A 26,912-nucleotide genomic window follows, 5' to 3' on the forward strand; every position below is an offset into this window, starting at 1 on the left:
CTGCACTGCACAGGGGTACAACTTTTATCTTTATTTTTTATTTTTATTTATTTATTTATTTTATTATTTTTTTTTAAAATTTTTTTAGTATTTATTGATCATTCTTGGGTGTTTCTTGGAGAGGGGGATTTGGCAGGGTCATAGGACAATAGTGGAGAGAAGGTCAGCAGATAAACATGTGAACAAAGGTCTCTGGTTTTCCTAGGCAGAGGACCCTGCGGCCTTCCGCAGTGTTTGTGTCCCTGGGTACTTGAGATTAGGGAGTGGTGATGACTCTTAATGAGCATGCTGCCTTCAAGCATCTGTTTAACAAAGCACATCTTGCACCGCCCTTAATCCATTTAACCCTGAGTTGACACAGCACATGTTTCAGAGAGCACGGGGTTGGGGGTAAGGTTATAGATTAACAGCATCCCAAGGCAGAAGAATTTTTCTTAGTACAGAACAAAATGGAGTCTCCTATGTCTACTTCTTTCTACACAGACACAGTAACAATCTGATCTCTCTTTCTTTTCCCCACATTTCCCTCTTTTCTATTCGACAAAACCACCATTGTCATCATGGCCCGTTCTCAATGAGCTGTTGGGTACACCTCCCAGACGGCGTGGTGGCTGGGCAGAGGGGCTCCTCACTTCCCAGACGTGGCAGCCGGGCAGAGGCGACCCCCACCTCCCAGACGGGGTGGCTGCCGGGCGGGGGCGCCCCCCACCTCCCAGACGGGGTGGCTGCCGGGCGGGGGAACCCCCCACCTCCCAGACGGGGCGGCTGCCGGGCGAGGGCTCCCCCCACCTCCCAGACGGGGTGGCTGCCGGGCGGGGGTGCCCCTCACTTCCCAGACGGAGCGGCTGCCGGGCGGAGGGGCTCCTCACTTCTCAGATGGGGCGGCCGGGCAGAGGTGCTCCTCAGTTTCCAGACGGGGTCGTGGCCGGGCAGAGGCGCTCCTCACTTCCCAGACGGGGTGGCGGCCGGGCAGAGGTGCTCCTCACCTCCCAGATGGGGTGGCGGCCGGGTAGAGACGCTCCTCACCTCCCAGACGGGGCAGCCGGGCAGAGGTGCTCCTCACATCCCAGACGGGGCGGCCGGGCAGAGGCGCTCCCCACGTCCCAGATAGTGGGCGGCCAGGCAGAGACGCTCCTCAATTCTTAGACAGGATGACGGCCGGGAAGAGGCGCTCCTCACTTCCCAGACTGGGTGGCCTGGCAGAGGGGCTCCTCACATCCCAGACAATGGGCAGCCAGGCAGAGACACTCCTCACTTCCTAGACGGGATGACGGCTGGGAAGAGGCGCTCCTCACTTCCCAGACTGGGTGGCCGGGCAGAGGGGCTCCTCACATCCCAGACAATGGGCAGCCAGGCAGAGATGCTCCTCACCTCCCAGACGGGGTGGCGGCCGGGCAGAGGCTGCAATCTCAGCACTTTGGGAGGCCAAGGCAGGCGGCTGGGAGGTGGAGGTTGTAGCGAGCCGAGATCACGCCACTGCACTCCAGCCTGGGCAACATTGAGCACTGAGTGAGCAAGACTCCGTCTGCAATCCCGGCACCTTGGGAGGCCGAGGCGGGCAGATCACTTGAGGTCAGGAGCTGGAGACCAGCCCAGCCAACACGGCGAAACCCCGTCTCCACCAAAAAATACAAAAACCAGTCAGGCGTGGCGGCGCACGCCTGCAATCCCAGGCACTGGGCAGGCTGAGGCAGGAGAATCAGGCAGGGAGGTTGCAGTGAGCCGAGATCGCGGCAGTACAGTCCAGCCTCGGCAACAGAGGGAGACCGTGGAAAGCGGGAGATGGAGACGATGGAGAGGGAGAGAGAGCAACTTTTATCTTTTACACCATATTTTTTCAGTACCTTTTCTATGTTTAGATATACAGATATTTACCACTGTGTTATAATTGCATATAGCATTCAGTACAGTAACATGTAGTACAAGTTTGTAGTCTAGGAGCAATAGGTCATACCATATAGGTATGAGTAGGCTATACCATCTAGGTTTATGTAAGTTTACTCTATGATGTTCTCACAACAATGAAATCATCCAGTGATGCATTTCTCAGAATGTATCCCTATTGTTAAGTGATGTATGACTGTATTTTAAACAAATTAATACAGATGTTTAAAGGACAAAAGAGAAAAATGTTGCATTGGTAATTCAGGGATACAAATTGGTGGAAGCAGCTACTACCTCTAGAGCTGGTGGGATAATTGGGAAGAAGTAATGTTAAGAGGTGGAGGAGCCCTGTCAGTATCACCCAACAGACTGCCAAAGTATGGCATGGCCTGGCTGTTGCTGGGGAGCAGTGAAACTACTGCTCAGAACGCCTTAAGAAGCTCTAGTGTCTTGCAGTGGAAGAAATTAATAGGAAACCAGCTCTTTGCAGATTTACAGCTTCAGGATCTCTGAGCAGATTATGAAAGGATAGGTTTAAAGCTCAGAGAGAGTATGTAAACAGCCAGCACAGGGATATTCATGGTATTGTTGTTAAGGTGTTTTTAAAAATTTTTAAATCTAAAATGCTTATCAGTATGAGATTAGTTTTGGTATAGCCATACACTATACATACACTGAGAGCTATGTGACTGTTAAAAAGAATAGTGCTTAGCAATATTTGACAAATGAGGTTCTACACACATTGTTGGTTGAAAAAAATGTTTCCAAATACTGTGTATTTTATATCCTTACTTATTAATGTCTGTATAATAATATGTCTAGAGAAATTTTAGGAGTGTTCACCAAAATGTTGACAGTATTGTTTCAGGGTAGTGAGATGCTGAGTTTTTTCTTTAGGGTTTCATGTATTTTTCAGTTTGAATGTATTTTTCATTTTCTATATTGGTATGATTGTTATCAAGGAAAAAACTTGAACTTGAAGGTAGAAAGTCAATTTAATGAGGGAATAAGAAATTCTTTTTAATAGGAAAAGCAGTCAGCATAGGTGGTTATTTATTTTCATTGACTTAGTACTGCAGAATTCTTAAAATTTTTTCTTTATGTTCATTGTTTCAGTTTGTTTTCTTTTAAAATAACTGAGTATGTAAAATATTGGATGAGCTAAAGGTTTCACATAACTATCTTTAAAAATCTCAGCTAAAGTTGCTGCTAGTGTGAACAATAATTTTTCTCTTGATTATTGGGGAAAGATTATAGGTGTTTGTGTTATCAAATCTGATTTATGAGAAGATAGGTCTTATCTATGAAGTTTAGTTACTGAAGTAACCACAGAATAATAATCTTTTATTTCACAAAGAAACCACAGACCATAGACTAAAAGATTAGTGTTTTAGTTATACTAATTTTTTTCCACGTTATATTATTGAAATTTTCAAACATATACAGAAGTAGGGAGAATACAAATCCCCAGGTATTCACCAACCAGCTTTAACAATGAATAAACTTACAGCCAGCTTTATTTTTTCTGTGCCTCCACACACTCCCTTGCTCCTCTTATATTTGAAGGCAAATCCCAGATACTGTCGTTTCATCTGTATATCTTTATCCCAAACACAGTTAACACTAATAACTTAATGTCCAATTGGTTTTCTCAAAAAATGTGTTTTTGTTGTTGTTGTTTGTGTCAGGGTCTTGGTCTGTTGCCCAGACTGGAGTGCAGTAGTCAGATCGTAGCTCACTGCGGCCTTGAACTTCTGGGCTCAAGTGACCATCCCACCTCAGCCTCTCAGTAGTTGGAACCACAGACACCACATCCAGCTAATTTTTTTTTTTTAAACTTTTTGTAGAGATGGAGTCTCTCATTATGTTGCCCAGACTGGTCTCAAATTCCTGGGCTCAAGCCACCCTTCCTCCTCAAAAATTGTTTGTTTGATTCAGGATGCAAGTAAGATTTATACATTGTGATTGGTTGCTGTGTCTTTTAAGTATCTTGTTTCTTGTGGGCTTTCTCTCTAGCTCTCACTCTGCTTGCAGCAGGAATCAGGTTGTTTCTCTTGAAGAGTTTCCCATAGACTGATTTTTGCTAATTTTATCCCTTAGACATAATTTGATAGGTTCTTCTTTGTTGTTGTTTGTTTTGATTTTTTTAACAGGGTCTTGCTCTGTTGCCCAGGCTAGAGTGCAGTGGTGCGATCACAGCTCACTGCAGCCTCGACCTCCTGGTTCAAGCAATCCTCCCACCTAGCCTCCTAAGTAGCTGGGACTACAGGCGCATGTCACCATGCCTGGCTAATTTTTATGTTGTTTTGTAGAGACAGAGTTTCACCTTGTTGCCCAGTCGGTCTCGAACTCTTGGGCTCCAGCAATCTGTCCACCTCAGCCTCCCACAGTTCTGGGATTACAGGTGTGAGCCACTGTGCCTGGCCATATTTCTTTATTTTCTCTAAAATGATGGCTGAATCCAGAGACCTCATTGGATTCTGGTTCAACTTTTTTATTTTTACAGGACTATTTTATAAGATTTGTATGCTTTCCTGTCAGGAGGCTCATAATAGCTGGCCATCTCTCTATTTATGATGTTTGCAGCTGTTGATATTAGTAGTCAGTCTTGATATTCTTATTGTCATTCTTCTTCATTTCCTAGCTGAATACTTTTGTAAAAAGCAAATTCTTATCGATTCTTTGGTTTCCCAGTGTTATATTTGTTTAGGAAAGGCAGAATAAATGCTTGATTTTTTGAATGTTATTTAGTAGTATTCAAAATAAAGAGGACTAGTGTCCTCCAAAGGTGACCAGTTGAGTGTCGTTTTTAAAAAAATCATAACGGGTTTACGCATATTTGTGTTTCAGTCAGTTATGGTGATCACATGCATTGATGCCCAGATTATCCCGTGTATAATCTTGGAAGCCTCTTCAAGTTAGTCCCTGAGTCCTTTGAAACAATCCCAATAATCTCTGTAATTTCTTTGCTATCTTGTATGACAGGATATTCCAGGACTATCTTGCACTTGTTCTGCCCCAGACCTGGAATTGGCCAATTCTCCGAGGGGCTCTGGTTCCTTTTAATGGGAATGGTATTAAGAAATTACAACATGAGTCCTGTGGGTACTAATTGCTAATGTATAAGTCATGACTCTATGATAATTCAGTAGACATAGCTTTTTTGAAAGATGAAATTCATGTTTGTTTATACGGATACTTACAGTTCAAATTCAGGATTACATGGTTTTTACTGAACTTCAATTTTACATTTATATCTCTTTTTTCCCTCATGGCACAGGATAACAACACTATAATATTACATAATAACTCAATTGCTTTATCTCATAATACATCCATAGCAGTCTCATGATAGCAGTAGCACCACCAATATGATTCCTAAAAGTAGTCTTTTACTTTTTTAGCTAGTTCTTTTTTTTATTTAGCATGTATCATATTAGAGATCTGCAGTCAAATTCCCATTTTAAAGTTATTTGGAATAATAATTCTTTGGGTGGTTATGCTAGCACATGGATACATACCCTTGTTCATTTGTTTCATTCTTTTTGAGAGGTCGCTCTTTTAAAATTTAATTTTGTTTTTTAATTATATGAAATGTTAAATGGCTTTAAACATATCTAAAGGAAGCAAGATAAATTTCAGGAAGTCCAATCCTCAATCCTCTAACCTATTCCTTTCTTCCCTGTAGATAAACTTAAAAAAAAAAAAAAAAGCCCCCTTCCGTGCACATACCTGTCTGCATATGTATGCACATTTGATAAAATGAATAAGATAAACTATATACACTTTTCTTCACCTTTTTTCTCTCTAATGGCATGCACTGGCAATTATCTCATATAAATATAGAGAGATCCCCATTTATTGTGTGGCTGTATCATAATTTATTTAACCAGTTCATTATTTATGGACATTGGGTTGTTTTCAGTATTACAGTCTTTCAGTGAATAGCTTTGTATTTGCGCCTTTTGTGTTTTTTGACAGTTATCTTTGGGAGCAGTTCTTAGAAATAGAAGAGTAAATGCATGTACAATTTTGCTAGGTATTACTGTGTTCCTATCCATAATGGTTACACCACTTTGCATTCTCACTAGCAGTATGTAAGAGTGTCTGCTTCCCCACAGCCTTGCCAGTAGACGATGTTGTTATGAAATATGTCTCTTCCTAACTCTGGTCATCTTCCTTGTTCTGCAGGCTTTTGTGTCTGAGAATAGTGTAGCCATTTGTGCTTTTCTTTGGTCCTAGTGTTTGTAAGGCATATATTTTTCCTTTCCATTTTTAGTCTTCCTGGGACTTCATATTTAAAGTGAGTTTCTTGGCTGGCCATGGTGGCTCACACTTGTAAATCTCCGTGCTTTGAGAATATGAGGCGGGAGGATCACTTGAGCCCAGGAGTTTCAGGCTCCAGTGAGCTATGATTGTACCACTGCATTCCAGCCTGGGCAATAGAGCAACACCCTTAAAGAAAAAGTTTATTTATTTATTTATTTTTAAATAAATGTCCTAGTTGTCTTTCTGTTGTTGTTTTTTGTTTCCTTGTTTGCTTTTATATTGGTTGTTTTGAATCCAATTTGACAAACTGTTTCAATGGGAGTGCTTAGAGCATTTACACTTACTGTAATTATTGATATGGTGGGGTTTAAAGCTACCATCTTGATAGTTTTCCTCTTCTATTCTTTATGTCTGCTTTCCTTGAGATTAATCAAGTATTATGATTTTATCTTTACTATTGGTTTATCTACATCCAATAAAATTATACTAATGTGTAAAAGCTTTACAGCACTATACTTCCATGCCCATTTCCTCCAGTCTTTTAAGTTTTGTTGTCTTATGTTTTGTTTTTATATGTTATAAGCTCCATAATATGTTCTTGATATTTTTACTCTAGTGTATCTCGAATTAATAATGACAAATTTCTTTTACACACATAATAACCATTTCTGTCACTTTTCATTTGTTGGATGTCTATCCATATTTTCATCTGGTATCATTTTTCTTCTGGAAGAACTCTTTTTAATATTTCTTGATGTATAGTTCTCTTTATAGTGAATTTTATAGTGAATTTTTTGGTCTGAAAAAGTCTTTATTTTTCCCTCATTTTTAAAAGATAATTTTGCTTGGAATATAATTTTAGGTTTACAGTGATTTTCATTTAATGTTTAAAAGATGTCACTCCATTATCTTCCGGATTGCAGATTCTGATGAAAAGTGTTCTATCAATCCTTGTTCCTCTGTTTTTGCACTGCTTTTAAGATTTTTCTGTTTTTCACTAATTTTTATCCAAATGAATAATAATATGCCTTGAAATGGTTTATCTTTTTTCTGCTTGAGGTTTATTGAGATTCTTGGATCTCTAAGGTTATTTTAATCAGATTTGGAAAAAAATTGGCCATTATTATTTTGAATACTTTTTTTTTTAATCTATTCTCTCCATCTGCCTTGTTGTTTTCTGGGGCTCCAATTACAAGTATTTTTGACTACTTGATACTGTCTTATAGATCACAGCTGCTGTCTTACTATTTTTTTCTTGCCCTTTTTTCTCTCTCATTTTATTTTGATAGTTTCTATTGCTGTGTCTTCAAGTTCACTGATACTTTTCTCTTGCAGTGTATAATCTGCTTTTAATTCCATCAGTTTATTTTCCATTTCTATTGTATTTCTTATATTTAGTAATTCTATTTGTGTTCTTTTTTTATATTTTTATATCTTTTTTTATATTTTATATTTTTCATTTCTAGCACTGCATTCCTGATTTATTCTAACTTCTTGAGTCTATGTAGCATAGTGTTTTTTGTAACAGCTCTTTTAATGTCTACCCTAATTCTATCACTTATGTCATTTTTGGGTCTGTTTCTATTGAGTAATTTTTGTCCAGGTTGTATATTATAAGGGCTTTCTACTATGTCTAGTAGGAATGAGTAATTAACCGCCCTGTTTGTGTTGAGGGAATTTTTTGTCTTACTGCTTTCCATGGTCCTTTTCCTGGTCTCAGGTAGTTTTTCCTCCTAACACGATTGAGGATCATTATCCAGCCAAAGACTCAGGGATAGCCTCTGCAGATTAGCAGAGCTCATGCTGCCTTTCCCTTTGTAACTCCTTCCTTTCTGGTATTGTGCTCTAGAAATCAGAGCTTCCTTGGCCTCCCTGAACTCTCATCTTTATCTCCCTCAACCCAGGCTCTATTTGGGTCATTTGTACTACAGCCTAGAAACTATTTAATACTTCCATGCGATAAGCTGGGCAGTAAAGCTCTTCTAGTTTGTTTCTCATTTATCAGGGATCACATTTCTCTGCTACCTGTTCCCTAGTGTCTGAAACCTTTAGCATATTTATCTCTTCTGGGCATTTAAGGCAGGAGAGTAAATAGTCTTAGTTACACCATTGTAATCTGAAGCAGAAGTCCTCTTGTTATAGTTTTTTAAAAAAATGTGTGAAGGTAAACAGTTTTTCATGCATTTTAGGGTAATTTATATGTCTTCTTTTTTAAAAAAATTAAACGTTGAGTTCTGAGATACATGTGCAGAACGTGGAGGTTTGTTACATAGGTATACATGTGCCATGATGGTTTACTGCACCCATCAACCTGTCATCTAGGTTTTAAGCCCTACATGCATTAGGTATTTGTCCTAATGCTCTCCCTCCCCTTGCCCCCCACCCCACAACAGGCCCTGGTGTGTGATGTTCCCCTCCCTGTGTCCATGTGTTCTCATTGTTCAACTTCCACTTATGAGTGAGAACATGTGTTGTTTGGTTTTCTATTCCTGTGTTAGTTTGCTGAGAATGATGGTTTCCAGCTTCATCCATGTCCCTGCAAAGGACATGAACTCATTCTTTTTTATGGTTGCATAGTATTCCATGGTGTATATGTGCCACATTTTCTTTATCCAGTCTATCAGTGATGGGCATTTGGATTGGTTCCAAGTCTTTGCTATTGTGAATAGTGCTGCAGTAAACATATGTGTGCATATGTCTTTATAGTAGAATGATTTATAATCCTTTGGGTATATACCTAGTAATGGGATTGCTGGGTCAAGTGGTATTTCTAGTTCCAGATCCTTGAGGAATCGCGACACTGTCTTCCACAATGGTTGAATTAATTTATGCTCCCACCAACAGTGTAAAAACGTTCCTATTTCTCCACATCCTCTCCAGCATCTGTTGTTTCCTGACTTTTTAATGATCGCAATTCTAACTGATGTGAGATGGTATCTCATTGTGGTTTTGATTTGCATTTCTCTAATGACCAGTGATGATGGGCTTTTTTTCATATGTTTGTTGGCCATATAAATGTCTTCTTTTGAGAAGTGTCTGTTCATCTTCACCCAGTTTTTGATGGAGTTGTTTTTTTCTTGTAAATTCGTTTAAGTTTCTTGTAGATTCTGGATATTAGCCCTTTGTCAGATGAATAGAGTGCAGAAACTTTCTCCTGTTCTGTAGGCTACTTACTGTTCACTCTGATGATAAGTTTCTTTTGCTCTGCAGAAGCTCTTTAGTTTAATTAGATCCCATTTGTCAATTTTGGCTTTTGTTGCCATTGCTTTTGGTGTTTTAGTCATGAAGTCTTTGCCCATGCCTATGTCCTGAATGGTTTTACCTAGGTTTTCTTCTAAGGTTTTTTATGGTTTTAGGTTTTCCATTTAAGTCTTTAATCCATCTTGAGTTAATTTTTGTATAAGGTGTAAGGAAGGGGTCAAGTTTCAGTTTTCTGCATATGGCTGGCCAGTTTTCCCAGCAACCTTTATTAAATACGGAATCCTTTCCCCATTGCTTGTTTTTGTCAGGTTTGTCAAAGATCAGATGGTTGTAGATGTGTAATGTTATTTCTGTGGCCTCTGTTCTGTTCCATTGGTCTATTTATCTGTTTTGGTGCCAGTACCATGCTTTTTTGGTTACTGTAGCCTTGTAGTATAGTTTGAAGTCAGGTAGCATGATATCTCCAGCTTTGTTCTTTTTGCTTAGGATTGTCTTGGCTATATGGGCTCTTTTTTGGTTCCATATGAAATTTAAAGTAGTTTTTTCTAGTTTTGTGAAGAAAGTCAGTGGTGGCTTGATGGGAATAGCATTGAATCTATAAATTATTTTGGGCAGTATGGCCATTTTCACGACATTGGTTCTTCCTATCCATGAGCATGGAATGTTTTTCCATTTGTTTGTATCCTCTCTTTTTTCATTAAGCAGTGGTTTGTAGTTCTTCTTGAAGAGGTCCTTCCCATCCCTTGTAAGTTGTATTCCTAGGTATTTTATTTTCTTTGTAGCAATTGTGAATGGGAGCTCACTCATGATTTGGCTCTCTGTTTGTCTTTTATTGGTGTATAGGAATGCTTGTGATTTTTGCACATTGATTTTGTATCCTGAGACTTTGTTGAAATTGTTTCTCAGCTTAAGGAGTCTTTTGGCTGAGACGACAGGGTTTTCTGAATATACAATCGTGTTATCTGCAAACAGTGACTATTTGACTTCCTCTCTTCCTACTTGAATACTCTTTGTTTCTTTCTCTTGCCTGATTGCCCTGGCCAGAACTTCCAATACTATGTTGAATAGGAGTGGTGAGAGAGGGCATCCTTGTCTTGTGCCGGTTTTCAAAGGGAATGCTTCCAGCTTTTGCCCATTCAGTATAATATTAAAGAATGTTTTACCTTTTTCTGTCTTGCCTGTTTTTCTGTGTTTTTGTTGGTCTCTTCATTCTCCATTTTTAGGCCTTTACATGTTAGGAATATATTTCTTTTAATGATACTTCACCTTTGGTATCTTTTGTGAGACTCTACTCTTAGTGTGATAAGCACTGGGTTGGTATCAGGCAATGAGGAAGATATGGAAGTTTCTTTTGCTTTGAGATGTTTGTATAATAGTTTAAGAGCTCCTTTATTCGGTATTCGTTTTAAATGTTTGAGTTATGAAATAATACGATGCATGAATGTTCTTCCAGGTGGCTATATGACTTACTCAGTACCTCCCTCAGAACTCTGCTCACATGTTTCTTTATCAGGGAGATCTTCTGTTTAAAATTGTAATTCTCTTATACCTCCCTCCCTGTTTCCTATTTCTATCCTCCATCTTTAAAAATTTTTTTCTCTGTAGCAGTTCTCACAGTTTAACATAACATTTATTTTGTTAATTTATCTTGTCCCTAAAATGCTAGTAGCATCAAGTTAAATATTGGAGCCTTTTAATAGTCCCTGGCATGTAATATTGCTTAATAAGCATTGTTTAATCAGATTTTCCTTTTTGTGGTTTGCTCTGGCACAAAATGAAAGGTGAATTGGAAGAGGCAGAGACTTGAGAAAGAAGAGACAGTGTCAGTTTCATACATGTGTAAGGTGGCAGAAGTTTAGCTGGAATGATAGCAGTAAGAATAAAAAGAGAGAGGCCTGTTGGGAGCGGCGTTAACAGGAGAGTGTGAGTCACCAGCCTGTTAGTGTTTGCTATTGGTGAATAAAAAGTAAAAAACACCACATTTGTATTTGGATTACATTTTTAATATAAATATTTATAAAGCAAAATCATAGGCCTTTGGAAGTGAGTTTGAGTAAATCTTGGTGACTTTTTCTGACCTTGTAAATCATTACTTAAAAATACAAATATTAAAGTATCTAGCAGAAGTCTTGTTGATTTTTCTGGTTTATTGTTTTTCTTTGATTTTTTTTTAATAGAGCCTTGCTTCCTGTTTTACATCACAAATCTAAAAAAGGACCCCCCCGTCAAGCCAAATATGCCATTCATTGTATCCATGCGATATTTTCTAGTAAAGAGACCCAGTTTGCACAGATATTTGAGGTAATGAGAAAAAAATTTTCTTGTTTATTTCATATGTCATAGTTACAAAACAAATATTGATGATTTTATGGAATGTTCACATTTGGTGATGCATCATTTTGTAATATATTTTCAGAATTTGAATCAGTAAAATCAACATTGATAAGTGTTAAAATATGAAAATATCTGAGTATTCAAATGTTTAATGATAACAGATTCAGAAATCAAGCATTGTTTATTTTTGTACATTGGTTTATATATTTGTATTTGGAGACTATTTTTTGTTAACAGGTAATTACATATAAAATCATAGTTACAGATAGTAGGTAACAGATGATTATTCTTTCATTTGTAGGATCAAAAAATTTGAATTCTGTTTGAGAAACTATTGAAGTGTAAGGTTTTGTAAATCAGTACTAATTGTTAATATAAAGTAAGTTTATAGTTTTATGACTGACCTAATTTTGTGTCAGATATAAAGTGTCTTTTCAATATATATTTTATATTATTTTATCCACATTCTAAATAACTTTTACCCAGGCATTGCAATTTTATTGCTGCCTATTGTAATTAGAACCTAACACTAACACTGTTAGTGCAAATAAAAGCTAAGCAGAAAATTCATAAAATCCTACTTTGTAATTTTAGTTCAAGAGCCTTGAGTAGAGTCAAAACAATTTAGAAATTATTCTGATGCTCCTTGACATAAGTACTTGGACTTAATATCTTTGTTTTAGAAAGTTGGTACTTTTGTCATATTTTCATGTATTATGTTAAAGACCTGAAGGAGAAAGAAAAGTAGTATATCCTCCAAACACCATCTTTCCTGTAGATAGCAGATAATTTAATTTTTGTGTATTTGGGGATGGCGGTATTTTCTGTAGTCTGTGTTTGTATATGAGAATGGCTTCAATAAATTGATGTTAATTTATAGGAAAGTTTTCTTTTTGGTTGCTCTCCTTTTCCTCTCAATAGTGATGAGAGAAACACTGATATAAGTTGAATTTCAGAGTAGTTCTTTCATTTTGATATTGTATCTGCTGTTTTATCTTTACAAGAACCTCTGTAGTCCTCCTCCTATGTAGCATTTGGTTGGCTGGCTTCCTGAGAAAAGGTTTCTTAGAAATATCTGGCATTTTTGAGGTTCCACTAATCTAGGGCCTGGCCATTAATTTTGCTTTTTAGAAATGATTTTGTTATGGAAAATTACCAAACTTATAATCTAATTGAAAAAACTACACTATGATATTTTTGTTTATAATATGAACAATAGGCTGGCAAGATGTGCAATGGAAGTACTGAGGGAAGTCTTCAAGAATAGCAAGAAGTAAACTCATTTAAATGTATTTTTGACTAAATGAAGCCTCACATTGCCCTAATTTGTTGGGAAAGAACAGTTTTGTATTGGCCTTTCAAGCCTACAATTCTTGGTGTTCAGTGTGGGAGAATAGAGCACCAGTTTTTCATTAAAATGTGGCATTAAAATGTCTAATAGAAAATAAATTCACTTGTTTCAACATCAGAAGGATGCAAAAAAGAATATACGGTGAAAAGTTCCCCCACCCATGTATCCCCAGCCACTTAGTTTCCTTTCCCAGAGGCAGAGCCATTGTTAGTAGTTTCTAAACGTACTTTTCCAGAGATATTTTATTCATATACAAGTAAGGGCATGTAAATATGCACGTGCACACATGCATGCACATACACACGCATATTTTGTTTCCCTCTCTCTCCTTATGCCAATGGCATATTTTAGTCACCCTTCTGATTTCAAAAATTAAAACACACACACACACACACACACACACACAAACATATATTTTGTTTTCTTTTTTTTTTTCTGAGATAGAGTCTTGCTCTGTCATCCAGGCTGGAGTGTAGTGGCGTGATCTCTGCTCACTGCAACCTCCACCTTTCTTGTTCAAGTGATTTTCCTGGCTTAGCCTCCTGAGTAGCTGGGACTACAGGCGTATGCCCCACGCCTGGCTAATTTTTGTATTTTTAGCGGAGACGGGATTCCACCATGTTGGCCTGGCTGGTCTCGAACTCCTGACCTCAGGTGATCTGCCTGCCTTGGCCTCCCAAAGTGCTGGGATTACAGATGTAATCTGTAATTGTTAATGCCCGGCCTTAACAATATATTTCTGATATCATTTTATATGAGTATTTGAAGAGCTTGTTCATTCTTTTATCATGGTAAAATGCATATTAATGGTTGGGTTTCCTATCAGAATAACAAAAAATCATTTTATTTGTTATGGTATTTAATATTTGGTGCTATAATGAAGATCCCCAAATTCAAGTGACTAGATGTAGTAAAAGCTTATTTCTTGCTTCTGAAAAGTCTAGTGGGTGTTTGAATGACCCTCTAATCAGTGGCTTAGGGACACAGACTCATTCTGATTAGTGACTTCTCTTTAAATCCCACTGGATCCTTGGCATCAAGCCAGCCAGTGAGTAGAGCCTGTGGAGAAGACATATTGCTCATACCTACCTCAGTGCATATGTGGCATACTTCATTTTACTCCCACTCTCTTGACCAGAACTCATTCATATATCCTCACTTAACTGCACAGGAAGCTGCAAGTAGAGTCATCCTTATGCCCAGGAAATTGAAGTGGATATTGGTGAGCCCTAGCAGTCTCTAACACATTCATGTATATGGTCATAAACTATATGCTATGAAGTCTGTGTCGAAATGTTTCTTTACCCTACCTCTAAACTGAATTGGGCAAAACTGAAAATGTTTGAACCTGATGCCTTCTGGACATAGATAACCTATAGAAGTCTAAATGTAATCTTGAGTTACTACTTATACTATGTATATTTATTGAAATTTTTGTAGTTTTTATAATTTGAATTACAAAATAAATTACAAAATAAATTTTGTAATTTGAAAATGAAATATGTAAACAGTTTATTTGTATATGTGTAGAGTTGAAATATATTTTCCTCCCCTCATTTTCAGCCTCTGCATAAGAGCCTAGATCCAAGCAACCTGGAACATCTCATAACACCATTGGTTACTATTGGTCATATTGCTCTCCTTGCACCTGATCAATTTGCTGCTCCTTTGAAATCTTTGGTAGCTACTTTCATTGTGAAAGATCTTCTCATGAATGATCGGGTAATTTATATTTTTTAGATTCATGTTCTTTGTAATGTTAACTTTTGCAATTTTATCCAACAAGGAAAGAAGTGAAATGATATCAATAATACTTCCATTTGACTGCCTTGATTTTAGGTTTTCCTGTTTAAAAAAAATAAGCCTTGTCTCCATTATAAGCAAAACCATCTTGAAACATCTTTTTAGTTGAGAATAGGCATATGACCTCAAATACATTCCTTGATAAATATAAAATATAACCTGATGCTATCTATTTCAGATTTACAGGGGTTTAATTTTTGACAGGACATCTATTTTTAAAAATATGCAGATTGGTAAACCAGCTCATAGTATGGTTGTCATGATTATAGTTTTACCTTTTTCTATATAAACTTGTTCTTTTCCCTACATTGGGAGAGAACGAAAAAACATTGGGAGAGGAAATAATGATTTTGTTAGTCTCCAGTTATTTTGTATCTGCTGTGACAGCACTGTACTAGGTTCTCTGGAGAATTAAAAGAAACATGAGATAAAGTTTTTCCTCCAAAAAGTAAACATAATATAAGTAGTGATATCTGGGTTAATCTGCCACCTGATTTTTTGTTTTCAGTTTGTCCTGTCAGTTGTGTATTTTTCTCTTTTCTTATTTTTGATTAAATATTTTTATTTCATTTTACCAGTCTGTTTTACATTTTGCTATTATTTTAGTAGTTTTCCTAGAAATTACAACATGGACTTTGGACTTATTAAAGGCCAGTGTCAGTTGGTCTGCTTTGAACTTTCAGTATAGCACAAGGAACTTCAAAATACTTTAATTCCTTTTATTCCTTGGTGCTTTTTTGTGCTCTTGTTCACCCAGTTCTATTACTGCTGTTATTTTATGCAGTTAATGTTTATTTAGATTTGCCAACATATTTTCTCCTTTTGTTTTTCATTCCTTTCTATGTAATGATTTTCTTTCTATCTAAAGAACTACTTTAGTACTTTTTTTTTAGTTTGGATTTCCACTAATGAATTTTCTCAGTTTTTGTTTGTCTGGAAAGATCTTTATTTTACCTTAATTTTTTAAAGGATGCTTTCTTTGGGTTAAGAATTCTAGACTGGTGTATTTTCCCCCATCAGTGATTTGAATATATTATTCTATTTTCCATTTTCTTTTTTCTTGAAGTTTATTGACAGTCTTGTTCCTCTGAAGGTCTTCTGTCTGTTTGCTGTGAATGTTTTTGTCTTTTCTGTTTTCCATTGGTTTCCAGTTTTACTATGATGTGTCTGGGTATGCTTTCCTTTATAGTTATTGTACTTGGGGCTTAGAGCTCTTCTTGTATATATAGCTTAAAGTTTTTTACAAACTTTAAATAATTTTTAGGCATTATCTTTACATATACGATTTCTGTTTCATATTCTCTTTCCTTTCTTACTGCAGTTCTATTAACACACTTTAAACGTACATTGTTTTTTTGCTGTGACCTAGCTGTGTGACACACTTTTGTGTACTTTTCTGCCAGCCTCCTCATGCTTCAGTTTTTGTTTTTTTTCTGACCTATCTTTGAGTTCACTCGCTTCAGTTTTGTCTAGTCGTACCTAAAGCTCATGCTTTGAATTCTTAATTTCACATATATACACATACTTCAATTCTGTAATTCTATAGTTTTTAAACATAGCTCTTTGTTTTGCTGCAGAATTTGCTTGTCATTAAATCCTTGAAAAATCTTAATTATGTGAAGTTTGTATCTGTTAGGCTTATCATCTTGATCTCTTGTAACTTTTGTCTATTCTCAAAATTTTGGTCAAATCTTACCTTGTACATATATTGCTTTTGATTGAGTGATAGACTTTTTGTATGAAAAGTTGTTGAGATAATGTGAGGCTTCAGATGTGGTTATATTCTTCCCAGAGTTTTACTTTTGTTTCTATCAGGCAGTTAAGCTATCGTCAGATCACTTCCATCCAATGAAAATGGAAGTTTGGCTTCAGTTTTGGACAAGCTTATTATTTTTTTCTGGTCACCTTATGTCTAGAGTATATTTGTCTGGGATCCACCCAGAAGTCCAGGTTGTTTAACAAGGCCTTTACTTAATGGGCTCAGGATTCTTAATCTTGTTCTTCTAGCTCTGTGACAGGAAAGCTTTGCTCAACTTCTTATCCCCCTTTCACTTTCAGAATCATTAATCGTCTGTGTGAAAAAACTAATCTCAGTGCCAGACTCAAATCTTTGCTTTCCCTCCTTATTTGAAACTTTGCCCTGCAAATTCTCACTGCTTTGGTAGCTGTCTGTTGCCTTCAAACTGATTTTTAAAAAATATTTTGTTTAGCCTTTCCGTTTGTTTCAGTATGAAAATTGGTTCAAAACAACCTAGTCACATCTTGTCAGAAACAGAACTGCTCACCATTTTTAATCCATTAATTTGTCTTGTTTTATTATATATTTGATATGTACAAAGGAATATATGTAACATTTGTATAACATGTTTCATAATACAATGAACACCTATGAACTCTTAGTTCCTTAGAGTTCTTAGAGTTTTATTACTCTTCAATCCTTTCTACTTCCTCCTTGTCCCTAATATCTACTCTCTTGAATCTTGGGTTAATCTGTAACAGCAACAAAATTTACCACATACTTGTTTAGTTTTGCTTGTTCTTGAGGTTTCTAAGCATTATATCATACCCTGTATAGTCTTGGAGGATTTGCTTTTATCACTCCACATTTGTTTCTAAGAATAATCTTCGTTACTAAATCTAACTGTGGTTCATTCATTTGTTACTCTATAATTTCACTGTGGAAAATATCTCGTAATTTATTTATTCTTCTAGTAGATTGTGGAATATTTCCATTTCTTTACTCTTTCGGACAGTGCTGCTATGAATGTTTCTATTGAAGCCCCCTGCTACATATGAGCAAGAATTTCTCTAGGTTTTATTCCTACGAGTGAAGTTGATGAATCACGGTATATAGACATATTTAACTTTTCACTTTTTTTAAGTCATTTTTTATAATGTTTGTTAAAACTTATTTTTCTATTAAGAAATCTGACAATAATGTTATTATACACTGTTGGGAGAAAATATCTAATAGATACAGTATCTCATTATAGCTCATTATAGTCCCAATGTGCATTTCTGTGGTTACTAATTAAGTTTGTGTGTCTAGTCACCATTCATGTTGCCTACTTTCTGAAATTCCCTTTTGATGTATTTTACCTTTTATTCCCCTTGGTGTTTTTTTCCCATAGGCAATCTGTACCTATATTAATCTTTTATCTGGTACATGTTATAGTATCATCATGAAGTGTGTAAAACCTCATTTATGTGTGTCTTTTCACTCCTTTATTGTGTCCTTTGATCCTTTGAACAAAAGTTATTCCTTTTTTTTTCTTTTTGAGATGGAGTCTCACTCTGTCACCCACACTGGAGTGCAGTGGCGCCATCTCGGCTCCCTGCAACCTCCACTTCCCACATTCAAGCCATTCTCCTGTCTCAGCCTCCCGAGTAGCTGGGACTACAGGCGCCCACCACCATGTCCACCTAGTTTTTGTATTTTTAGTAGAGATGGGGTTTCACCATGTTGGCCAGGCTGGTCTCCAACTCCTGAACTCACGTGATCCACCCAGTTCAGCCTCCCAAAGTGCTGGGATTACAGGCATGAGCCACCACGCGCCTGGCCTGAACAAAAGTTATTACTTTTAATGTAGCTGTATTTATCATTATTCTTTGGTAGTTAATACTTTTTACATCTTATTTAAGAAATCTTTTCCTACTCTAATGTCATGAAAATAGCCTCCCATATGTTCTTCTAAAACTTTGAAGGTTTTCTTTTTTTACACACACAAAAATCAATCCATCTGGAATTGATTTACTTTTTTTTTTTGTATGCTGTGATATAAGGATTTCATTTTTGCTGCATGTTAGGGTTACCAAATTTCCCAGCACTGTTTATTAAATATCTTACCATCTCCTGGTAATCTGCAGTGCTACCACTCATGTCTCCTATAGAGCCTCTGTTCTTTTCCACTGATGCGTTTGCCCATCCACAAGATGTCTTTCCTTAATGTTTTATAGTTTTCTCTAAAAAGAAAAATTTTAAATTTCTCTCACACAACTTATGTTAGGCACTAAATAAAGTTTTTAAGATTATGTTTTATGTTTATGATTGATAAGGTGAATTATTTGGTAATTCTGATTTTATATCCATCTTTCTTGCTAAATTCTAATTTTGTCAATTATAAAGAATGCCAGCTTTGATTATTTTCTAATGCTTGCATATTTTATTTCTGTATATTTACTTCCATTTTAGGTATTTATCCTTTTTCATCCTAACTTACCAGTTTTTGAAAGAGATATATTCACATATTCTGCTGTGATGAAGTATTCAATCTTCTGATTTTAATCATGTTGGTTCTGGTTTATTTTGATGTTATTCTGCTAGTTGTGTAAATGTTCATGAATTTTATATTTTATTTGGTGTTGTAAGATAAAATATATCAGTATCCCATTTAAGTCCATATCCTCTTCAGTGCTTTTCATCTTGACTGGTATATTTTTCCATCCCATAATTTTCAGATTTCTTATGTTGTTTGTTTTTATTGTATCTTTTGTGGCTTTATTATTTATAAATCTACCTGATAGTCTCTGTTGTTTCTGGTAGTATCTGATAGTTTCTTATTTATGTAAGGTTTTTGTTTTCATTTTTCTTTGTATTTGTAATAGTTTATACTAATTTAGTTTTTTCTTGTGAATTAAATAGTGTTATCTTTGAGTAATTCTTTCAACATGGATTGTAATTTGGAAGCTTTCTGTCTTGAATTCTAGTGTTCATTCTTCAGTACTGTTTTTTGGATATTAGAATTCTGTGTTTCAAGTCACTTGAAAATTCAGAGCATTGTTTTTTTGGCATCTGGTCTTGCAGCTGAGAAATCTGAAGTTAATCTTTTATTCCTTTTTGGTAGTTTCTTTATGGAAGCTTTTGGGATCTTGACATCCTTAGTTAGAAATTTCATCACAAGGTGCCTAATGTGATTCCTTTTTCATTATTTTTACTTCATACTTTGAAGGCACTTCTCAATGGAAGAAATGAGTTATAAACTGTGTGTGAATCTGTAGCTCTTTGTGTTTGAGGGAGTTTGCCTTTTTAGATGTTGGGGGCTACCTGTTTTGTTACCAGAGGGTTACCTGAGGTGATATTCAATTCCTGTTCTTTGACCTGAGGGTAAAAAATGGGATCTCAAGTGTTCCAAGATTGGTTCAGCTCTTTTGCCATCTTATTTTAATTTCCTGGTTACTACTGTAAACACCTACCTGCTAGTACTTGCACATGATCACCTCAGGATTAGTTTGGAGTTGTGCTGAAAACAAAAACAAAACCCCTCCAGCTCAAGATTTTTTTTTTTTATACCTTTCTTCTTGTTTAAGAGCTACACCTTTTGGCTCCATGTTTTTTTAAAATCCTAGTTCTTGCATTAAATAATTGAATCTCAAAAGGGGCTAAATAAGGGAGTGATGTGTAAGAAGTTAGAGTTAGTCCCACCACAGACCTAGAAAGAACCAGTCGTGATGGATCTATAAGTGCTGTACATAGGCGCTAGTGAAGGTATGCCTTTCAACCTTTTTTTTTTTTTAAAGTAAATAGGGTTAGATGAAGTACTTTAGTCATATATAACAAATGTCACTGCAGAAGGTACAGATTTCATTCATTTTCTAAGTGCTAATTGAAAAGAATTCATATTTACATTTTAAAGTCCCTGGTTTTTTTTTTTTTCTCGTTTATTTTTAGCTTCCAGGGAAAAAGACAACTAAACTTTGGGTTCCAGATGAAGAAGTATCTCCTGAGACAATGGTCAAAGTGAGTAATGTGCATAGATCTATTGATTTTAATATAATCACCACATTGTAATATTTGAGGTATTAAAATTTCTATTTCTATTGGAAAGATATTAAAGTCACTCAAGTATTTACATTTATTGTATGATGTCTTATGTGCTGTGAGACTATAGGGTAATAATGAGAAAGCTGGGATTTTGTGGACAGCTGCACATAATCTAATTTGAGGAGAAAAAAAGGTTTGAAAGCTGTTTCCCTGATGGCAAAAGGCAGTGCTAGTTTTTATGGACTTTCCTCTGTTCTGTAAAGATGATAGTTCAGATTTTAAGCCTATTCATCTTTTCCATGGGATTTAATAAAACTTTTTATTTTTAAAAAATTCAGCCTATAATTTATTGAATTAGGAGTTTTATAAGATTGCTCATCATTGGTATAGACTCTTGATTTATTAAAACCATCTATGGCCTGTAGTGTAGACCTCATGTCAATCCACTACCAAGATATGAAGGCCAAAAATACATACATTAAATATTGTTATTTTCTAGCTGTAATTTCTTATAAACCCTTTCAGTCTGTGTGTGTGTGTGTGTGTGTGTGTGTGTGTGTGTGTGTGTGTATTTGTTTATAGTTCGTATTACGAACTACCTTTTCACATTGTTCTAGCTGGAGGTTATGATACTAGTTTTGCAGACTTGTACAATAGCCCCACCTTTACATCAATGAATGATGCTTGATACTTTGAGTCTCAGTATAAACCTGTTTTTCTCGGCATTGGTCTCAAGCTGCAGTTTTTGTATACTTGAAAGCAGCACTGGACTAGAAGGTAGGCCACTTACCAACTTACCAGTTGGTAGGCATACTTACCAACTGGCCAGGAAAGAGATCTTCCGTCTTTGCCGTGAGCCAGACACTATCGAAGACCCTCTTAGCATCTGAGCCTTAGCTCTGTAAAAAGCTGAGCTAATATGTGAAAGATAATTTGTACATCATTTTAAAAAGAGGTAATATGTACTTCTTCAAAAGAATTCTTGGAAACATTAAAGGAAGTAATGGGTGTAAAAATACTTTAAATACTTCATAATCATAAAATGTAGAACAAATATGAGTGGTATCATTTTTTAGGCAGAAAAGATTAAATGTAATTTGTAGTTGGGAACTTAACTTTTCTGATTAGAGAGGTTAAGCATGATTTTACTGTATGTTCTACAGGATCAAATATATGTTGGGGAAACATTTTAAAACAGCAAAGAACAAACTAGTCTTTAGTCAAATCATTCTTTTGCCATTTTCTTGGATGTTTGAAACATCTTTAAAACATTCGAGATTATCTTCATATATACAGAAAAGAATTTTTTCTTTTCTTAAAAAGCATCCATTAAATACATTTTATTTTTAAAAAAAGTTGATACAGAAATTCTTTCAAAATGTACCAGTGTTTTATTTGTCGACTTGTCTCTTAAATAGATTCAGGCTATTAAAATGATGGTTCGATGGCTACTTGGAATGAAAAATAATCACAGTAAATCAGGAACTTCTACCTTAAGATTGCTAACAACAATATTGCATAGTGATGGAGACTTGACAGAACAGGGGAAAATTAGGTATGCAATTACTATTTCACAGTTCTTTGGATTGCATAATATTTCAGCTCTTGGTGTAACTGTTCAATGGTGCTGTTTCTTTTTCTTTTTTTTTTAAATTAGAATTGCTTTGTACATGTGCATATATTTTTACTGGAATATGCTTTTGTACAGTGGTTATTTTACAGTGGCGGTCACATGTCTGGTGCAGGGTACTGTTATACATTGTAAATATTTTAAACAATAGATTCTTACATTTTAGAATATCTCGTATGAAAGTGTGAGTGTACCAGTCAATAACTGATGTTTTACATTCTTGTTAAATATGTAAGGGGAAAGAACAGATTGGGTGAAAGGCAACTTATTGAATCTATTTCCAGAAGTATAAATAAATGCATACTTTAAAGATGTACCTGAAGTAAATTATTGAAAATGAGCACACTTTTTTGGTTTTTGTTATTTTATTTTCTTTGAAAGATGTAGTAAGTACAGTGTAGTGATTGAAAACTACTGGACTCTGGAGCCTGGATTTCAAATTCTGGTTCCACCACTTACTAGTCAGGTGAACTTCAGTAAGTTGCTTTAACTTCTTGGTCCCTCAGTTTCCTTACCCACGGAAGTAGGAGGTAATAATTATGTGTACCTGGCTCATCTAGCTGTTATGATATAACTAAATAAGTTAGTATACCTAAAGCATTTAAAACACTACTTAGCACATAATAATTAGAAGCATTGATGATAATGGTGGTTATTATGTCAGTGTTAGTTAAAATTTAACGTTTGTCCTCTGTGTAAACCAAGTGCCATTTGGTGCCCCTCCTTGGTAATACAAAATAGGAGAATAGCTCTGTGCTCCTTAATATATCTAAAGACTTTAATAAGAAAACATACAAAGATGACTGCCAGCTGCCTTCTGCCTTTCCATCTTGTATGTTTTGCTTATACTGTATTCTCCTTGTATGTTTTGCTTATACTGTATTCTTTGCATAGAATGTTAACAGAAGCACATCCTTCTCAAACAAAACATATAAAAAAAAACTTGGTAAGCTATTCATTCTGTATCTGTTTACTTTCTTTTATTCTAATTAATCTATTCTGTTTTCATGTCTCTGTTCCCCTAATTTATATATGCCAATGTTTAGGAGTTACAAATAATAAGTATGTTTTCATTTAAAATTTTTACTGAATTTGAAATAATTTTGTATTGATCAGCTCAGCCTGGTAAAGAAATTTTCCTCAGTGTTAATACATTTGGCCTTATAAATCAATTTATTAATTATATTATTTTATATTTCTTATTTGGCCAATTATATTCAGCTATATAAACTTTCATCAGAGAGGCAAAGTTCTTTGGTGGTTTACAACATTCAGGCAGATTGAAGACACACTACACAGGTTCAAACTGAGGTTCTACCATTTATCAGCTGCTTTTATTTATCAGCAAGTTATTTAACTTCTACGTGTCTTAGATTCTTCATCTGTAAAATGAGGATAACAATAGTATCTCCTTATAGAGTTTATGTAAGGATTATATGTATTAAAATTTCGAATGTAATTGGAATAATACCCAGTATATAATGTCACTTATGCTGTGTTTTGTGGAACCCATATGACATTCAGGAATATTTAGGGGCAGCCTAGAGTTGGAATAAGAATTTTTTCTGGTAGAGACATAACAGGTGGAGTCTTGGGAGTTGGTAGGTGGGGGTCTCTGTCCTTTCCTTAAGTGGGAAGCTTGCATTCCTATTTAAGCAAAAGTGATTTTTTGTGTTTACACCTTAAACTTTTATGTAAGATTTGGTTTCAAGAAAAGTTTCCTCTGCTTAATAAAGCTAAAAACAACAAAACAAAAAAAGTTTACGAGGTTAAATAGAAACCTCTGGTCCAGATGGGAAATTTTAAGGATAGATAACACAGGAAGCATCTGTTATCCATATCTGTGAGGAAAACATCCAACAGGTGGTTTATACTTTTTGCACTAAGAACTATGATTTACTGATTAATAGCTACTTGGAATATTGTTGTTGATGGGATGAGACACACCTTTGAGACGAAGTCCTACAACTTTAGAAACTTACTAATGTTGGCTAGCATCCAGTCAATATTTTTACATGGCCAACTAGATTATTAAGTCTTGGAAAACTAAGACTGTCTTTTATTTTAAATACCCCGCAGTGCTATATGTACACAATAGACATAGATTTGTTGCATGGATGTTGAATAACAATCTTTTACTATAGAGCTACAAAGGGGTTCTATTTAAGGAGTTACAACTTCTCCCTCCTTATATTTGTTCAAGATCCCCTTTATTTTAGCTAATATATCACTATATTAGGAAGGATTGTTTAGATGTATTTACTAGTCTGGAATTCTATGAATTGTGCTTCATTTTAGCAGTTGTCTTTCCTTGAACTTAAAAAGAGCCTCTTGGTAATATTTGAAAAGTTGAATTCTAGCTAAGGAATAGTAATGTTTTCCTCACCACACCTGCTTTCATTCTTCTTCTGTGCTTAGCACAGTAGTTGTGTTTGATTTATTAGCAAGCTAGAACATATTTGGTGCCTCATCTATATATAAACATTTCTCCAACAAAATCCATAGTAGAATATGTAAAACCTAACAACTAAACATACAGACAGATTTCTTCTACGCTTGACTAAGACTTGTTTTATTTAGAATGAGGGAATTAAATGACTTGAGTGACACTAGCATTGACTTATGTTTAAAAGAAGAATTTTGTAGTATTAGACAACATCTTCCAAAGTTAAATGAGCATAATATGGTGTTCAGTATTGCTAAATTATTTTCTGTATTAGCCTGCTCAGACTGCTGTAATAAAATACCAGGCTTATAAACAACAGAAATTTATATCTCACAGTTCTGGAGGCTGGGAAATCCAAGATCAGGGTGCCAGCATGGTTGGGTTCTGGTGAGGGCCCTCTCCAGGGTTGCAGACTGCTGACTTCTTGCTGTGTCCTCAAATGGCAGAAGCGGTAAACAAGCCCTCTCAGGCCACTTTTTAAAGACACTAATCCCATTCATGAGGGTTTCCCACAATGACCTAATCACCTCCCCAAAGGCTCCACCTCCTAATACTATCTCCTAGGTACTTGCATTTCAACATAGGAATTTTGGGGGACACAAACATTCAGATCACAGCATTTTTTTTTAAACTTTTTTGTGCCAGAATTTTTAATAAAATTAGATGTACAGAAGATTTTGTACAAATATTTTAAATGCTAATCTATATTCATTCTACTCATTTTTCAGTAAACCAGATATGTCACGTCTGAGACTTGCTGCTGGGAGTGCTATTGTGAAGCTGGCACAAGAACCCTGTTACCATGAAATCATCACATTAGAACAATATCAGCTATGTGCATTAGCTATCAACGTAAGGAAATGGCTGTGTACAACTACTTTTTGAAGGTCTTTGACTTTTAGGAAGGAAAAACATCCACTGTGATACATAGATTAAAATCTTGAATGTGTATGGTTTGTTTGTTTCTGAAAAATTTATGCATGAGAAACATTTCAGAGTTCTGAAACTGTCATTTGAGTTTTGGGTTGCTAACATAGTACAGTTGATCTTCTTCTTTGTAATAGTTTTGTTCTATAATGTTATCACAGGCATTCAGTTAGCAGATACTGAACAGTTGCTCTTAGGAGAACTCACAGAATAGATTCCTTCAAGCCCCTGGCCACAACATTTTCATCATCCAGTTAATATACAGCCTTGTTTTATGTATGTTTCTGTTTAAAGACTATTTATTATATATAGTTGTCTCAACTGAACTCACAGCCAACAGCACTGTAACTCATACCTGAACAAAGCTTATCTAGCACACACATTTTCTCTGTAAGGAATATCAGAGCCTTCTTGTGCTTTGGAACGCCAGACAGCAGTTCATCGCTATGCTTGTGCTTTGAAACACCAGACAGTACTTCATCATGAAATAACAAAAACATCAACCACAAAACTGTGAAAAATGTGGCACTGAATAGACCTCAAAAAGGACACTGTTTACGTATGAAAGCTGAAACAAGAAGGCACAGTGTTGCCTTCTTTGACATTAGCTGGGAATGTGCACATCTGGCTACTTACATTTTTTGCTGCTTTGTGTATTTACTTTGCAAATGACCCAAAAATTGCTTCAAGTATTAATTTTGGTGTTACAAATAAATTTTAACGAGTATGCAAATTCCTAAATATAGAATCCACAAATAAGGAAGACTGACTGTATGTGTTCAGTTCCTGAAAGGAAAACAACAGTATCGAAATTTATACTTTTATAAAGACATGACATAGAACTAATTTCAGGTTAGAAGCATTCCTTATTACTCAGTGAGTTAAGTTTTCAGATTATAAGCAGTGAAACTTTCAGATTCCTATTACAGTTTTATGGATTTCTTGTTAGAGTAACTTTATATTTGGGCTGTACCGCTTTAGAAGTCTTTAGCATCATTGAGAAAAGTAAAAGGGACTTTCACATTAGTAAATAAAATACTTTCAGTATGAGTTTTTCATTAATAATTTCGTTATTTTACACTTAGTTTTTCTCTTCTTTTCCAAGTAGTCTTAAGAATTTACTTCAGTGATCATTGCAATTCTTCCTCCCCACCCTTTATTCTAGTACATATTTTTAAATTGCCACTTATGTATAACTCTCTAGACACAAACAGTCATCTATTTTTAAATTGTAATCATTTTTGTCAAATGATTTGTCAAGACTGGTACTTCAGTCTTTTAAAAACAGCTATTTCGGCCGGGCGTG

At 35.7% G+C, this 26,912-nt stretch overlaps 1 protein-coding gene across 9 annotated transcripts in view, besides 2 other annotated features; it reads left to right on the forward strand.

The window, feature by feature from the left end:
- PDS5B (PDS5 cohesin associated factor B) overlaps window positions 1–26,912 on the forward strand; it is a 191,568-nt gene that overhangs the window by 134,118 nt on the left and 30,538 nt on the right. For all 9 annotated transcript variants that reach the window (XM_005266298.5, NM_015032.4, XM_017020452.3 and 6 more), the window contains 5 exons: window positions 11,532–11,655; window positions 14,603–14,761; window positions 20,511–20,579; window positions 22,022–22,158; window positions 25,408–25,531. In XM_005266298.5, coding sequence (XP_005266355.1) covers window positions 11,532–11,655; window positions 14,603–14,761; window positions 20,511–20,579; window positions 22,022–22,158; window positions 25,408–25,531 — 613 coding nt within the window. The remainder of the gene's footprint in view (window positions 1–11,531; window positions 11,656–14,602; window positions 14,762–20,510; window positions 20,580–22,021; window positions 22,159–25,407; window positions 25,532–26,912) is intronic.
- Window positions 23–616: an enhancer, noted in NCBI's record as "NANOG-H3K27ac hESC enhancer chr13:33294729-33295322 (GRCh37/hg19 assembly coordinates)". NCBI's record gives its function as "activates a minimal SCP1, AML or CMV promoter by ChIP-STARR-seq in naive H9 embryonic stem cells {active_cell/tissue: H9 hESC(naive)}" and the evidence as "EXISTENCE:reporter gene assay evidence [ECO:0000049][PMID:30033119]".
- Window positions 7,930–8,130: a silencer, noted in NCBI's record as "peak2067 fragment used in MPRA reporter construct". NCBI's record gives its function as "represses an SCP1 promoter by STARR-seq MPRAs in K562 erythroleukemia cells {active_cell/tissue: K562}" and the evidence as "EXISTENCE:reporter gene assay evidence [ECO:0000049][PMID:32103011]".

Source organism: Homo sapiens, chromosome 13 (genome assembly GCF_000001405.40).
Source record: "Homo sapiens chromosome 13, GRCh38.p14 Primary Assembly".
NCBI lineage: Eukaryota > Metazoa > Chordata > Mammalia > Primates > Hominidae > Homo > Homo sapiens.